Source organism: Homo sapiens, chromosome 10 (genome assembly GCF_000001405.40).
Source record: "Homo sapiens chromosome 10, GRCh38.p14 Primary Assembly".
NCBI lineage: Eukaryota > Metazoa > Chordata > Mammalia > Primates > Hominidae > Homo > Homo sapiens.
In genome coordinates this window covers 95,779,897-95,796,122 of record NC_000010.11, presented here as the reverse complement: position 1 = coordinate 95,796,122, position 16,226 = coordinate 95,779,897, and the positions used below count along the sequence as shown (strand labels likewise).

Sequence of the window (16,226 nt, the reverse complement as noted above, 5' to 3'; positions counted from 1 at the left end):
GTTTTCCATCAAAAAAGTGGAGGTATATATTTGACTACTTCAAACATGTTTTAACTTCTCAATTCCATGGTTCTCACTATTTTTAGTAAGCTTCCAGGCAACCTCAACTTCAGTTTCCATGTTTTCTAGGAAGCAAGGGGACAGATGTTTGGGCAGTAAACCCAAAATCTGGATCTCAGAGCTTAATCATAAACTCCATGGGATATTTTTTCACTGACTTTCCAAGAATAGTAGACTCAAATGCCATGTTTATAATGGAAGAAAATATACACTCAGCTGGTCATTGGTCGTTCCTTAGCAAACATGGTTAACTCTCCATTGTATCTGAGAATCAGTCATTCTGATTAAGGAAATGCAGTATGACTAGGTACTGATGCATCTCCTATGAAATGGGATCTCAACCCTGCCTCTTACTAGCTGCATGACCTGGGGAAGTTATTTAACCTGTCTAAATTTTCATGTTCTAGATAAAATTTTAAAGACGTAACTTATTTAGGTAAGTTGACATGAAGACGCAGTGAGCTCTGTATGAAAAAATGATTAGAGTGATCTCACCGGACCCCATGGTCTTAGTTACTGTCCATACGTGGGAAATACTATATATTTGGTCCAGACATATGTATTATTGAACTTTCAGCTGCCTCCTTCACCTTTTAACTTGGATATCTCACAGGCACCTTAAACCTATTGTGCCCAAACAGAATTCATGCTCTCCTTTCCTCTGCAAAACTGTTTCTCCTGTAGCTTTCTATAACTCAATATTCACAGCTCAGTGAACATCACCACTCATCCAGTTACTGACACCAAGAACAGCAGCATCATCCTGTATTCCTTCCCCACCCTCACCCTTTATATCCAAGCAACTCACTAACTCAGCAAATGTCCCTGAGGCCTTGTACCAAGTCTTGGAATCTCCCAAAAATTCAATGCCATGTAACCCTCTCCATCACTCTAATGTCTTCTTAGTCCCATCATCATGCCCTCCCACAGAAGACTCCTAACTGATTCCTCTGCATCCACTCTTACCTATCATCAATCTGCTTTCCAACTACGGCCAGAGTAATCTTCTCAAAGGGTCTATATAATCACATCATCCACTAGTTACTTAGAATACTCCACAGCTTCCCATTACTTACAAGAAAGAACACAATCCTTTATCTAGCCCGTATGTCCTGTATGTTCTGGCCCCTCCCTGGGTCTCCACTTCTCTAATCACAGTATTTCCTTCACTGTTTGCCCCCTTTCAGCCCCCATTTCACTATGCTGTCCTCGCCCAGAGCCCTAGCACAATTTATGTACTCTGCCTAGAACATTCCCTTCCCATCCTCTTTGCTTAGCTATTTCCTATTTACCCTTCAGATCCCAACAGAAAGTCACTTCCTCAAGGATGCCTCAGAAAACCCTACCCTGAACCCCACACTAACTGGTACCCTTCACAACACTCTGAGCTTTTTCTTCATAGCACTTAAGGCTATTATAATGAATTGTTTACATATGTAAGTCTTTCACCAGAGCAGTCCTCAATTCCGGATATATACATTAGGTTCACTGGAGACCTTTGTAAAAATGCCAACTCTGGGGTCCCATCTCAAAGCAATTAAATCAGAATCCCTCGGGGGCTGGGGTCCTGGCACTGACATTTTTTAATGGCTCCCTGGTGCCAAGTGCAGCCAGGGTTGGGAATCACTGGGTAGGAGGGCAAGGACCATGTCTGCTGCTTATCCATGACTTCATCCCCCGTGCTGAGCACTCAGCAGTGTCTGCACAGAGTAGGCACTCGATAAATGGCAACTGTACTTATGATTGTTGTTTTTGTTATGGTTGATAGGGTTATGATTACAAAGATCATTAAGCCATATGACTTTTTTTTTCACATTTTTGGCCTCTGTGATTCTTTGCTACAGAACTCTAAAAAATAATAATAATAAAACTGTAGTAGCCAAATCATCTTTTTAAAATTCAATGAGTTTCTATTTTCCTGTCAACATAGAGCTTCAATTAAGGATTGACTAGAACCTATTGGACATGTTTTTACTAAAAGCTATGTCTCCAAAATGAAACAAAATACTGTATACTTAAAAATCCAATTCATATCATACAATGCCCTTTTATGCAGATATATATTAGAAATTAGTCATTAGTGACTTTCTAATTTTGTAATGATATGAATTAATTGGATTGACCACTGTGACATCATTCTGATCCTATTTGATTTCACAATTCTCTGTTCATTTTTCTTTCCTGTCACATTAACTGTCTTGTCACATAAATGTCAAACCACCACCCACCGTGGCTCAGTGGTTAGTTCTGGTTTCTTCTGCTTGCTGCTTTCCTGTTCAGCCCCATGTCAGAGGGTAGGCCCTGGACTTCTCCTTTAAAGAACCTTCTAAAAACATAGTTTCTCTAATCCAATTCTTAACCATAAACCTGCATCAGAATCACCTGGAAGGCTTATTACAACTGCTTGACCCCATCCTCAGAGTTTCTGATTCAGTAAGTCTGAGGTGAGGCCAGGGCATATGCATTTCTAACAAGTTGCTAGGTGATGCTCTGCTGCAGGTCCAGGGACTACACTTTGAGAACCACTGCTTTAATTCATAACACACATAAGTAACCTCCTAATTAATGGCGGATGAGAAGGGGAGAAAGAGACTGAAGAGCAATTGTGAGGCCTTTTAGGGATACAGTGGGTGAAGACTACCCAAGTTATTCTCTATACTTAAAGCCCAACCAGGGGCCTTTTCCCCATAATTTTAGGGGGATTTTCCCTTCATTATTTTTTATAAACAACTCAACATATCCCATCCATACTTCTCTCTTTATAAGGAAGAGATTATGTAGGGGCAGCATGCCTCCCGTCTATTCCTTATTAGGCAATTCCCTCAGTTACTATCAGCCTGCTTTTTAGAAGCAGTCCTAGTTCACCATCCTTGAAGTCAGCCAGTTTAATGAAATTCTTTGGCACTGTTTCACACAATGGTGGGAGGGGAACTGAAATAGCAGTGAGGAAATTGCTAAGAAGCTATTCAAAGAAACAAGCTTCAAAATCACTTCAGGAGGTTTCAGCTGGTGTTGGGAGGAAGCAATGACGTAAGGAATCCCAAGGCACCCCAAAGAAAGCATAGTAAGCCCAAGACCAGCACCCTGGCAAGATGCTGGACACACAAGTATGGTACTATGAGTGGAATACGTGGCCAGAGTGAACATGACATTTCAGCTTTTGCAGTTACGCACACCAAAGCCATGAATTCAGATGAATGCAGAGCACATCTTTACTCTGCAGGAAGAGTGACTAGGATAACAAATGCTTTCCCGTGCTGCCTTCATTTATGGGTGTTCAACAAAAATTATAGGAGGCCACTGTTTTGGACTAAACCCCTGCACTAGGCCCCAACAGACCAGCCTAAAAACCAAAATAGAGTCCCTTATCTAAGGTTCTGCTTCTCCAAACCTTGAGTTTGTTATCTGGTCTTCCATGAAATCAGGAGAGAGAGGCAACAGCCTAATTTCCCAACAGGCCAGTTTCAGTCTTCAACTGGCAATCATGCAGTTCCCTCTGTTTTAATTCTTACAACAGAGTAACCCGATGTTAACCAATCAGTTATCTTTCCATCTTTCTATCTCCCTATGCCCACAATGAAAGTAACTTTGAAATGTCCAATCTACTTTTTGTTCTTTGTTTCTGCTTTCTTCAGCCCTTTCTCTGTCTAGAAAGCCTGCTGCCTCTGGTCAACTCATTGGAACACTTACTCTGTTTTATGGAATGAAGTGTTGCCTAATTCTAAAATTGCAATAAAGCCTATTGAGATCTTTAAACTAAATTTGTTGTAATTTTGTCTTTTGACAGGGTCTTATGGGGCACTCGGGTGACCAACCATCCCAGTTTGCCTGGGATTGTCCTGGTTTTAACACTGAAAGTGCTGTATCCCAAGAAACCTCTCAGTCCCAGGCAAAGCAGGGTGGGTTGTCTGATGGACACTCCCATCTTCTTCAGCCACGCTCTCTTCTCCTAATACCATTCCCACTCTCACTTCTTTTGATGTTTTTTTTTAACTATGCAAGGCACCCTCTCCTCTAAGCTTCTCTGTCTCCTGGTAAACTCTGGCACTTTTAGTCTCTCTTAAGCAATTCTCTTTACTCCCCTGAGTTCAGTTTTGTGCCTGACTTCACTGTCATCTTCAGGTTTTCCACCATGCTGACTTCTAAAATACCCCCCATGAACATGATTTCTCTTTTTCAAACCAAAAAAAAATCTCAAAGTTGAAAGGATCCTTAGAGTTCACACACTCCAGAGTTCCCTGGGGACTTTCTGTAGTCTCACCTGGGACAATTACATCAGAATTTCTAGCATGGGGCCCAGGCACTGTTCACTTTTAACACCTCTACCCCCAGCCGGGTGATTCTAATGTACAGCCAAAGTTCTCCCTTGTGAACCTCTAACTTAGTCCAACTCCTTCCAAGTGGTAATCCTGTTTAAAAGATGGGTATTTACCCTCTGCAGTAAAATTCTCCACTGATGGGACAGAAGTGCATATCCAGGTAGTCTAAGCCATTGCCAGACATGTCTAACTGTTAGCAATCTATCTTGACCTAAGTTCTGTTTCATTCTAACTTCCACTCTCTGATCCCAGCTCGAAGCTACAAAGCAAATTAGAATTTGTTTACTTCATTAAAAATTTGTTTTTCAAGTCCTCATGGGTTGCCAGTATATAAACCCCATCCTCAAGTCCCCTATTCTCCAGGCTAAATAGCTCCAGTTCCATTTACCATTCTTTACATATCACGATTTTCAGATTTTATGTCACCCTAATTACCCTCCACTAGATGCCCTTCAGTTTGTAATGTCCTTCTCAAAATACATTGCTCTGAACTGAATATAGCAGATACAGTGAAGTTATTATAGCCCTTCACCTGGAAACTAAACATTAACACTGTTTAAATATGACTCATCATTTTAGATACTCATACTGAGGGCTACGGGTCTAGTAAAACCTACAGATCTTCCCATGAACTACCTCCAAGTCAGGAATCTCACCTTGTGTGTATCAATTAAATGTCAACCTATGGTTTCAGCTCATTTTTCCAGCCTGATGATACTTGATCCTTTTATGTAATACATTGCAGTCTCACTAAAAGCTACGTATTGTTAGCAAATCTGCTAAGCATGCTTTCTAAATTTTTGGCCATATCATTGATAAATCGTGCCACATAAGACAACAACAAGGACAGAATCTTGTAGTATATTTCCCTACCACCTTTCTTCAAGGTAGATTTCAAACTATTTATCAACATGATTTGGCCATGGTTTATGTTAGTACCAATCCTTTTAGTTCATTCTTATCCAATCTCTATTTCTCCAACTCATCTTTGGGCATATCATGAAAGACTCTGCTATACATTTTTTTCATACTGAAGTACTTACAAGTAAAATGATATAATATTTGAGATTTGCTTAAAATATTCCAAAAACAGCAAAAAGGTATGGTTGGGAGGAAAGTGATAGATGAAACAAAAAAAACTCAGAATATTGATAGTTTGTAATGATGGGTAATAAGTATACAGTGGTTTATTATATTACTCTCTTCATCTTGTATTTGTTTGAAATTTTCTACAACTAAAAAACATTTTAAACTCTTGATGAAATAAACTTCAGTTAGCCCTTGAACAACATGGAAGTTGGGGGTACTGACCTCCACGGAGTTGAAAATCTGCATGTAACTTTTGACTCCCCAAAAACTTAACTAATAGTCTGTTGACCAATAACACACATAGTCAATTTACACATATTTTCTATTTTACATGTATTATATGGTGTATTCTTACAATAAAGTAAGCTACATAAAAGAAAATGTTATTAAGAAAATCAAAAAGAAGTGAAAATACATTTATAACCCTGTACTGTATTTATCGATATGGTAAGTTTGCAAGATCCCCATCTATGAGATGAATCATCTATCTGAAGTGGTGGGCAACCACCGCTGCAGACATCAACCTACAGTTCATATGAAGCAATTCAACTTTTTCTTGTAATGTCATGAGTCATGACTTTTCTCTGCTTCTTGAGAGCACTTCCAATATCACTCGTGGTACTTTGAATGGGTCCCATGTTGTTATTCAAAGTTTACAGTGTTGTACTAAACACAATGAAAAATACTCAAAATACTTGAGAACCATTAGAGATCACTTTTTACTGCAATATGCAATTTATGGCATTCTAGGCAGATACATGCAACACCTGAGCTCACTGTAATAGCAAGAGGAGGTGGCTACAAAATTATTACAGTAGTATAGTATGTAATGCAGTTAATTTTATGCAGTTATGACTTAATACTGCATCTTTATATTTGTTTAAATTTCTATCAACTGTAAGTGGTGTCATGCATGGTCTGTAATTGTGTAAGCTTTGATAAATGTTAACTTTTTATAATAGATTTGTGTATATTTCATGGTAGTAATGATAGATTAATATCTACATATATTTTATGCATTCATGACATACCTTTTACCTAATTTTTTTCAGTATTTCTAGGCTATATGGTTCATCTTTGAGTTTTTCCAATTGTTGCAAAGTGGACCCATATAATTCAAACCTGTGTTGTGCAAGGGTCAAATGTACACTGTTTCTATGAATTTGAGAGACTGCCAAAATTTTTTAACCCTAGAGCCCTTCTAAATATTTTACAAATAAGAGTAATTTGATATAAGTTGATTCAATAAATGCATGCCAGTTTCAAGTGACTGGAGCTTTCTTTTTTAGGTGTTAACAAATCTTCCATATTTAAGACTTTGCCACGTATCAACTCATACTGAGTTTCCTGGATCCATTCTCTTTCATCTTTTACTATTTAGATTACCAATTCCAATAATTTAAAGAGCATATCTCTCTAAAATTCTTTAAACTCATTTAGAAAAGTCAAGGGCTCTCAATAAATTCTCATCCATTTCAATTACTTCTTAATTGTGTATGTTTTACTTTGTACTGATTGAACTCCATTTTTCTAGATGGAAGCAAAATAGAAGTTCAGAGGTTCCAATTCCTTTGCATCATCCATGATCACTATGCATTCCTCTTCCTGTTCATGTTCTTCCACTGAACTGTAACCAAAATAACTTTTGTTATCTTTAGCATTTTTTCCTCCATGCCTCATCGCCAACAGATATTTAGTCCAAGTGATGCTACTTTTAAAAGAATTCTCCTAGCTTCTAACCATTCTTCTCAATTACTTGCATCCATTTCTCTATTGTACAAATCCTCGGGGGAAAACTGTTTATTTTATAAAAGCCATAGTTACCATAGAGATTTTTAGAAAATAGAGAAAATAATATATAAGAAAATTAAACTCACCCATACTTTCTCGCCTCCTCGTAAAGTTCCTCAGATCAAATAAGTGTTTTAACTGCTTTTCGCTTTTCTCATCCATTATGATTATTTATTATTGTATAATCAGGTTTCTCATTTAGTTATTTCTTTTTTAGACTCGCTTTTTTCTTTTTTTTCTTTTTTTTTGGACAGAGTCTCACTTTGTCGCCCAGGCTGCAGTGCAGTGGTGCAATCTCAGCTCACTGCAACCTCCACCTCCCATGTTCAAGTGATTCTCCTGCCTCAGCCTCCAACGTATCTGGGATTACAGGCACCCACCACCACGCCCAGCTAATGTTTGTATTTTTAGTAGAGATGGGGTTTCACCATGTTGGCCAGGCTGGTCTCGAACTCCTGACCTCAAATGATTCCCCAACTCAGCCTCCCAAAGTGCTGGGATTACAGGCGTGAGCCACTATGCCTGGCCTAGACTCATCTTTTAAAGCCATATTCTTTTTAGTAAATTTGATCATGAGAATTCGTCTACCATTTTTTCTGGTTTTGTTTTAAAATTTTATTTATGCATGTATTTATTTTTAAATCTGCCTTCTTAAAAAATTGAGGCCATGTGTCTGGTTGCCTTACAGTTCCCTCTTTTAGGACTATTAATGCCTAGATGAACTAGTCAGTCATTTCTCCTACCTTCTCAATCATATCTTTCTTTTGAATTAAAATTAAACCAAGGAAGACAGGCACTAATATCTTCCTCTAACTTGCAAAGGTATCTCCAAGGAAAAATCAAGAATTCTTCACATGTTCTACTTTTCGAAAAGTAGATATCCAATAAATATATAGGTAAAGTTACAGTGTTTCAGAATTTTCATAACTGAAAGGAATTTGGGGGTGGGGGTTGATGGAGGAAAGTGTTGCCATATCCACTGCAGCCTTCTTTATGACAAGCACTGTAGTAGGCACTTCACATACTTTTTTTTGTTAATACTCTCAAAGATTACATATGGTAAGAACTGTACTGTTTTAGTCCCATTTTGCAAATAAGAAAAATGCAAATAATATAGGTTAAGCAACTTCCCCAAGATGGAAGAATATCTTTAAACAATAATAATTTACATATCCAGTGTGCAAACTCCCCTCGAGATACTGCATCAACAGTCTACATTGCTTCTGTCCCAGCTCTGTCATTTGTAATAGAAATACTTCATCCAGAGCCTGCACTTAACTGGGGTGGTTTATCTTATATTCATACAACAATGTCTTTCTCATTTTCTCTCCTTTGTATTCTCTCACCCAAAGCCCTCTACAGAGCTGCCAGTCTCATACTTCTATATTTTCATACAGCCAAATACTATCTTTAACATCCCCTCTCCTTCCTAAAACACCTATATCTTTAAATAAAAAATAGACTTTGTTGCTCTGTACCAATTAGTAGGCCCATCCTTCCAAGCCCTCTTGTAATATGTGGAGCTTCATGTTTACACAGAGTAAAAGAAGCATGTCTATTTTAACAGATTAAACTTTGGTTTGAAAATGATCAAAATAAAGCTTGGAATACTACGCTGATCAAATTTCCCTAAAAGTTGTATCAATAAATCATATTCCCCCTTTTTTCTCCCTCAACTCTTTTCCTGGAAATTAATATATCTTATTATGCTTTATTGGAAGATGCAAAGACCATGGCCCAGCACCTTTCTATGCATCATTCTAATGTTGGTAGCTCATTACCTAAATTGAAAACAAAACCAAAGAGCAAAACAAAACCTCGAGGTTACTAGCTCTGGGATCTTGAGTAAGTCACCTTTTCTACCTTGTTTCCTCAGCTGTAAAATGAGGATTAATGGTAATACCTACTTGACAGAGTTAAGAGGATTAAAGTAAATTGAATAATGTATAAGAAACTGCCATATGAACCATAAATTCAATGATTATAATGATGATTGTGATGGTTTGCAAGGCCACAACTCCATTTGTAATCAACATACAAAATCAAATATCTAAATGTGCAACACTCAAGTAACCAGAGGCTTTTTATATTTATAAATGGTGTTGAAAATTTTAAGTTTCCCAGATTTCCAGGTTTCATCTTTTTCCCATGGCAGAAAAGTCTAGGTTGGATAAGGTGGTTTCTGTCATTTTAAGATATGCTGAAACTTTTTCTCACTAGATTTGGTGCTTTCTCTGCTGACAGTGGGCACAGGGAGCCAGAATCTAGGACTGCACTTGGCTTGGTGGGAACCAGTCCTGAGCTGCCTTCCTCCTTGGGGAACAACATTAGTCTCAGATTCTAACACCAGGGTTCGCTTTCTCAGGCAAAGGACGGTAGTGCAATACGGAAGCTAGGGATATGCATTCCTTCTCCCTCCCCTACTGAACCTGCGTCTCCTTCAACCTTGTCTTTCAGGCTCCTTTTCAGGGCAATATGGAAGTCTCTGTGCTCAAAGTACCCTCCATCCTCCATTGCTTATTGCTCCACTAATTTCCAATTTGGTGGAGTTAAAAAGAAATACCTCTGGTGGCCTTAAAGTCAAAGGAAGCTGTGTGGTCCTTCTCACCAAAACCTGGCTGTGGCAAAGCTGAACAGAATGAACAGAAGTTTTGAGTCATTATGGGAAGGGGAGGGGCAAACCATCCCTAGGGAGTTTGGAACAAAGTGCTTTAAGCAGCACCCAAGCACTGGGTAGCAGGGTGGGAGGACATAAGGGGTCAGGAGGTAGAAGTGAGGCTCAGATATGAGGCCCTCAGATAAACACCTCTCTTTCACCTGCATCCAGTTTTACCAAGTGCCCACTCTTGTCTCCTTCCTGCCTCCTTAGATAACAAGAGCAGCACCACTGGATGCTAGGCCAAGAAAAACGCTTGCCATCCTCACAATCATCCTCTTCCCCATTTGTTATGTTCTTACTGGGTAGCAGGCACTGTGCTAAGCACTTTATACTCATTGTTCATCAAATTATCACAACACCATAGATATCATTAGCCTATTTTGCACTTGAGAAAACTGGGGTCCAAAAGTTTGATAACATATTCGTGGTCACACAAATGGTAAGCACAGAGCTGGAATTTGAGGACAAGCCTGTCTGACTCCAGGGATTCTAAGCTCTTAATTATTAGGAGACATTGACACTCATTTAACTCTTCTCTTTTCTTTTATTTCCCCCACCTATCCACCTCCCAACTTCCTTCAGCCAAATGAGGCCAGTTTACATAGCCACCTTCTGAGAAAAGTTACCACAGATGGTTTCTGCTTCATAAGTTGCTGGGTTGGTTTTGTGGCCAACCTTGTGTCCTGAGACCTTATGATCTTGGCCACAACAGATTGTTCCAACAACTGCTGCTTAAGCCAAAGTCAACTATAGGCTGGACTTGCATTATCTCATTTAATCCTCATAACAAAGCTTTAAATTAAGTACTAATACCAACTGCATTTTACAAGCGGGAAAACTGACATTCAGATAAGTTAACTTACCTGCCTAAGGTGGGACAGCTAGTAAGAAGCAGAACTATGATTGGAAGGTAGGTTTATCTGAATGCTTGAACACTGTTCTACCTCCCATTTTTTCAGAGATCAATAGAGTTGGCCTGGAACAAGAGATGCCCTTGAATGCAAGTTGTAACAACTGAGAGAAATTGCCCAGACACTGCAACGGGAGTTGCCAACAAAGTAACAGAGTCAGAGAAGAGCTGAGTCTTGGGAATGAAAAAGTGATGAGGGGATGACTTCCACAGTGGGTATCCGGTCATTTGGGCTGCTGCTCTGCCCTCATCAAAGTGATTTCCACTCTGTGAGTCTCTGATATGCAGCTATAGAACCTGTTGCCTGTTTCCTAATTTATCCATGTGGGCCTGTCACCCTCATCACCTCAGGTAACAAAGTCCAGTCCTTATTACTTTGTGCCTCACACATACACTCCCTTAGGCCTAAACTCCCTGCAACGCCACTCCTGCCAAACCCCCATGATTGTCCTGGCCTGATGGAGTGAAGTAATGAGAGACTTGAAGCTTTGTAGACCTGAATGCTCATATCTTGCCACTACCCCAGCCTCCAGCTTTACTTCCTCCTCCAATGGGTAGCTCTCTCTCCTCCTTCCTCATTGTCTGCCAGCCTGAGGGAAAAGAGTACTGAGGCCGATAGGTGTTTTCCAAAAGGCTCTGGGTGCACTGGATGTACACCAGATGTTTCCTGCGACAACAGCAAGACAAAGGCAGTGGGCATGCAGAAAGCCATATAGCAATTGGTCTCTGGAACTGCTACTTCCTGGGTCCACAAGGTCTTGGGGTGACTAGGAAACACAGCCTGAGTTTTTCTCCCCAGGCCTTCACACTCTACAGTTAGCCCCATTCTCTACACAAGACAATGGAGCTCATAGGAGTCCCCATGTCTCTGAGCTTGGCTAGGGCAAACAGTTAGAGAGTGGCTGCTGGTGAGAGACAGTGCTGAAAATGCTGGCAGCAAGCCATATAAGACATTTTTAGTGGCCCCATAATGTCTATATACTCTAAGGAACTTGTATTTGTGAGCAGCTGGTGCTACATCATTAGATGTCATATGTGACAGGCTGTTCCAAGAAAGATCCAGGATACAAGAAGCTGGATTTCCTGACTTCAGTGTCCCTGGGTTTTTAATGCCTACCCTATCTTATGGGTAATTTGGCAAATGGTCAAATTGCTACACTGATCTTTTCTACAATCAAAAAAAAAAAAAAAAGAACAAGCAAAGCACCTGATTATACAAAGCATCTTACTACATTCCTCCTGCAGGAAGGCAGGATATAGTAATCGAAAGAGACAAAAGAAAAAAAATGACTAGGAACCTATATTTTTGCATAGATTTTCTACCCGCTTTCACCCCCACCTCTTCCCAGGCCACCTGCTATTCTAGTTCTTGGTCACCAATTTTGCCTCATCTTAAAATTTGTTCCTCTTTCCCATAATCAGTAGTAACTAGAAGCTGAGTTCCCCAGGCAACCATAAATACTTGTTATTCTTTTTGCCACGTGACTTGCCCTAAAAATAAATTCAAATATTTTTCCTACCATCAAAATGCCAGGAAGAATTGGATACTGTCTTGAAGAAGTGGACACTGTTTTTTTTTTTTTTATGCCTACCTGTGAAATAGAGCAGGCCTAATGCTACTTAGCCAAAATTTTTAGGAATCCTAAGAAAGTCCTAACACAGAAGGTAATATAAAAACCTGGGTGTTATCCTATCTTGAAAATGGGACAAGCAAAGAAGGGGTTGGGAAAAGAGAATTAGAACAAGCTGATACACACATGCTCACACAACCCAGACCAGTATAATTTGTTTTTCTTTTTAGAAAGAGAGTAGCAAAGAAAAGAGTGCGTGTTTGCTCTGAAGTTTAGTCAAGATTTTGCCACTTTCTTTGAAATGCCCCCTTGATGTGCCAGCCAAGGACCCTTAGAGACCTCCATTTGAAGCTGAAAGTACTTGAAGCCAATTAATGAAAAAGATTTGCTTTCCAGTCTCATGTGACTCTGGGGTGGATGACCTTTTGGAAATCATGGACAAAGTCTCCATTTAGAGCTCCTACAGAGTGATGACCCCACTATACAAATCACTGTGAATTAGGGAGCTTCCAAATTAAACAAGATTCAGCAAATAGAACAGCGACAATGGTAACAATGCTACTCATAAAACTACATTTAGATGCTCTCAAAAACAGTTTACAAAATTCATTTTTGTCCACTCTCTTTTTTGATCCTCAAAGAAACTCCCTAGGAGACAACGGATACATACACTACACACACACACACAAACACACACACACACCGCTTCCATTTTATAGGTGTGCAAAAGCTGAAGCTAAAGAGCAAAGCAACTTGCCCAACCTGTATGTTGCTGAGTGTAAAATTCAACCAAGCCTTCTACTTCTAGCTCAGTATCTTTTTAACCCAGACATTCTCCTCCCATGCCTCCATCCCATTATCCCCAAGAATCCTGAAACCAGTAGTTATCCAGATGACCAGGAGCTGAAAACGCAGCCTTAGAACTTTTAGAGAATCAATTCAAAAATAGATAAAAGAATAGAAAAACTGTTGGGGTTGGGGGAACAACAGGAAGAGCTGAGATGAACTAATGCAGGATGAAATCAATAAGGCAAGGGGGAAAATTCTCTCTTCCTTTTTCCTTCACATCTTCCCTGTTCATCACCACCTAGCCTAGGCGCCAGGACTTCCTCAAATTGCCCTAACTCTTTTGCCCAATACTGGGTTGTTTTTACCAGGTTCACGTGATAGGCTCTGAAAATATTTTAGCTAAACCTTCTGATTAGCCAGGAGCATGTTTCCAATTTTTTCTTGGAACTACTAGCCCCAGTCATATTCATTTTTACTACCTCCTTTGACACATGTTCCTTATATGACATAGTCTCTGCATCCTTCCTCATTCTGGACATACCTACCCAGTTTGACAATGTCTCACTTCAGATGTGATACAAAAAAGGAAATATACTACCCATAAAGTGATTTTCAGTTCTTCACTCAATAAATCAACCAAAAAGTAAATAAATATATACTGAATCACAGGAAACATTTTAGAATGATAGAATGCTCTATATCTTAATAGGGCAATTTAAAAATTGTTGTTGTAGGGGTAAACAAGGTGGTGAAAGTCAAGCACTTAACACAGAGCCTGGCACATTAGTCCTTTATAGATCACTGCAAACCAATGCCTTCATGGCACTCTATCTGCATGCAGTATTATCTTCAGCTCAGAGCAGTGTATTTTGGAAGTGGCATTAACAAACTGGAGGCAGAAATTCTAAAGAAGAGAAAGGAGTTTCTACTCACAGAACTCTCATCAATAATTTGTCCCTTTCTGTTCACCCTTATCCAGCTCTGCCCTGCCTTGGTGAAGGCATAACAGGCTTGTTTCCTGAGGCTCTGTCTCACCTAATTCCTGGAATATATTATGGACATTTTTGCTTTAGTGGGAGAGCACCTGAAAACCCACCATCAATCCCATGCCTGGGGTCAAGTGTCCTGGAAGGAATTTAACATCACCTATGGGAGAATCTGGGCAAACCTCCTTGGCTAAATCCATTTCAGAGTATATAACACAGTCGTGAACTTTGGTCTGGCTACCAAGGTCCTGGCCCTCTTTTCGTTTCCACCCTTAAGACTACAACCTGACATAAACTGTTGACCAAATTAGTAGGAGACTGGCTCCCTATGCTGATTTTATTTTTATTTTTTTATTTTTAATTTTTATGGGTACACAGTAGGTATCTATATTTATGGGGTACTTGAGATATTTTGTTACAGGCATGCAATGCGTAATAATCACATCAGGATAAATGAGGTATCCATCACCTCAAGCATTTATCTTTTGTGTTACAATCCAATTATACTCTTTTAGTTATTTTTAAATGTTCAATTAAATTATTATTGTCTATAGTCACCCTATTGCAAACCAAGGCAATAGGTTTGATAGCACCCTGTTGCGCTATCAAATACTAGGTCTTATTCATTCTTTCTAACTATTTTTTGTACTCACTACCCATCCCTTTTTCCATTCTACCCAGCCCCCACTACCCTTCCCAGCCTCTAGTAACCATCCTTCTACTCTCTCTCAGTTCAATTATTTTAATTTTTAGCTCCCACAAATCAGTGAGAACAAGTGAAGTTTGTCTTTCTGTGCCTGACTTATTTCACTTAACATAATGACTTCCAGTTCTATCCATGTTATTGCAAATAACAGGATTTTATTATGTTTATGGCTGAATAGCAGTCCATTGTGTATATGTACCACATTTTATCCATTCATCTGTCGATGGACACTTAGGTTGCTTCCAAATCTTAGCTATTGTGAATAATGCTGCAACGAACATGGGAGGGCAGATATCTCTTCTATATACAGATTTTCTTTCTTTTGGGTGTATACCTAGCCATGGAATTGCTGGATCATATGCATGCACTGGTTTTAGTCCACTCCTGTCACATAAGGTCTGAATTCAGTTTCCCCTGTCTCCATGGTGCTAAGACAGACTTCCCTGACCAAGGACTTGGACACAGACCAAGAATGTACTTCCCTGATGCCCCTACAGCTGGACCCCACACCTAGGATCAAAGCCCTTGAATACAGTCATGACCTGGATCAAACATGAGTTTGTTCCTCTCTTGGACACAATGATCTGAATTGCCTGGGGCAACTTCCTTTTAGTCTTCCATTTGCAAAGAACTTCAGGCACATTTCATGTCCATAGATATTCTATTTACAATGACAGGGAGAAGGGAAAAAAATTACAAAAAGCAGACACATAGACTCATAAAGCAAAACAGTTTATAAAAGATTTAGTGTAGTGGCAAATAGTTCTAAAAACTTTAATAGACCTTGAGGTCATTGCTGTTTTATAACTTCATTGATTCATTCATGTACTCATTCAATACGCATGTGTGCAGTGATTTGAATCATAGTTGCCTACAATATGCTTGGCACTGTCTATACAAATATACATAAGATTCATATTTATAGGGCCACATATTTATTCTTACTTAAAGGGCCACAAAAATTAATGTTTGACGGACACTTAGGTTGCTTCCAAATCTTAGCTATTGTGAATAGTGCTACAATGAACATGGGAGGACAGATGTTCAATATCATCACCTCAACCTATCAAATAAAAGTTTTTATGTTTGGTATGTTCTGTTAAAGATGAGAAGTATGCAATACACCTCAGCAGATTATATAATTCCTTCCAACAACATCAGCTATAATTGGCATAAAATACAATATGTGAGCTTCATTTCTGTGGGTAACAGCAGTATTAGTCTTGAGTCTGGTATGTTTAGGTCTGCAATACACCTCTGGCCCTCCTAGTTGTATCGAACTAGCCACACCTCCTCACATCTAAATTGAGAATAACAGCAGTTCTCACCTCATAATGCTGTTATAA

The 16,226-nt window shown here is 39.3% G+C and overlaps 1 protein-coding gene and 1 long non-coding RNA gene across 33 annotated transcripts in view, besides 2 other annotated features; one reads left to right on the top strand and one right to left on the bottom strand.

The window, feature by feature from the left end:
* Nucleotides 1-16,226, bottom strand: part of ENTPD1 (ectonucleoside triphosphate diphosphohydrolase 1) — a 183,082-nt gene that overhangs the window by 81,144 nt on the left and 85,712 nt on the right. The gene's annotated exons all lie outside the window — the stretch shown is intronic.
* ENTPD1-AS1 (ENTPD1 antisense RNA 1) overlaps nucleotides 1-16,226 on the top strand; it is a 337,030-nt gene that overhangs the window by 294,113 nt on the left and 26,691 nt on the right. The window contains exon 5 of the long non-coding RNA NR_038444.1: nucleotides 10,878-11,097. This is a non-coding gene — a long non-coding RNA (ENTPD1 antisense RNA 1). The remainder of the gene's footprint in view (nucleotides 1-10,877; nucleotides 11,098-16,226) is intronic.
* Nucleotides 4,143-4,442: an enhancer, noted in NCBI's record as "active region_3806". NCBI's record gives its function as "activates an Ori minimal core promoter by ATAC-STARR-seq in GM12878 lymphoblastoid cells {active_cell/tissue: GM12878}" and the evidence as "EXISTENCE:reporter gene assay evidence [ECO:0000049][PMID:35858748]".
* Nucleotides 10,584-10,663: a silencer, noted in NCBI's record as "silent region_2651". NCBI's record gives its function as "represses an Ori minimal core promoter by ATAC-STARR-seq in GM12878 lymphoblastoid cells {active_cell/tissue: GM12878}" and the evidence as "EXISTENCE:reporter gene assay evidence [ECO:0000049][PMID:35858748]".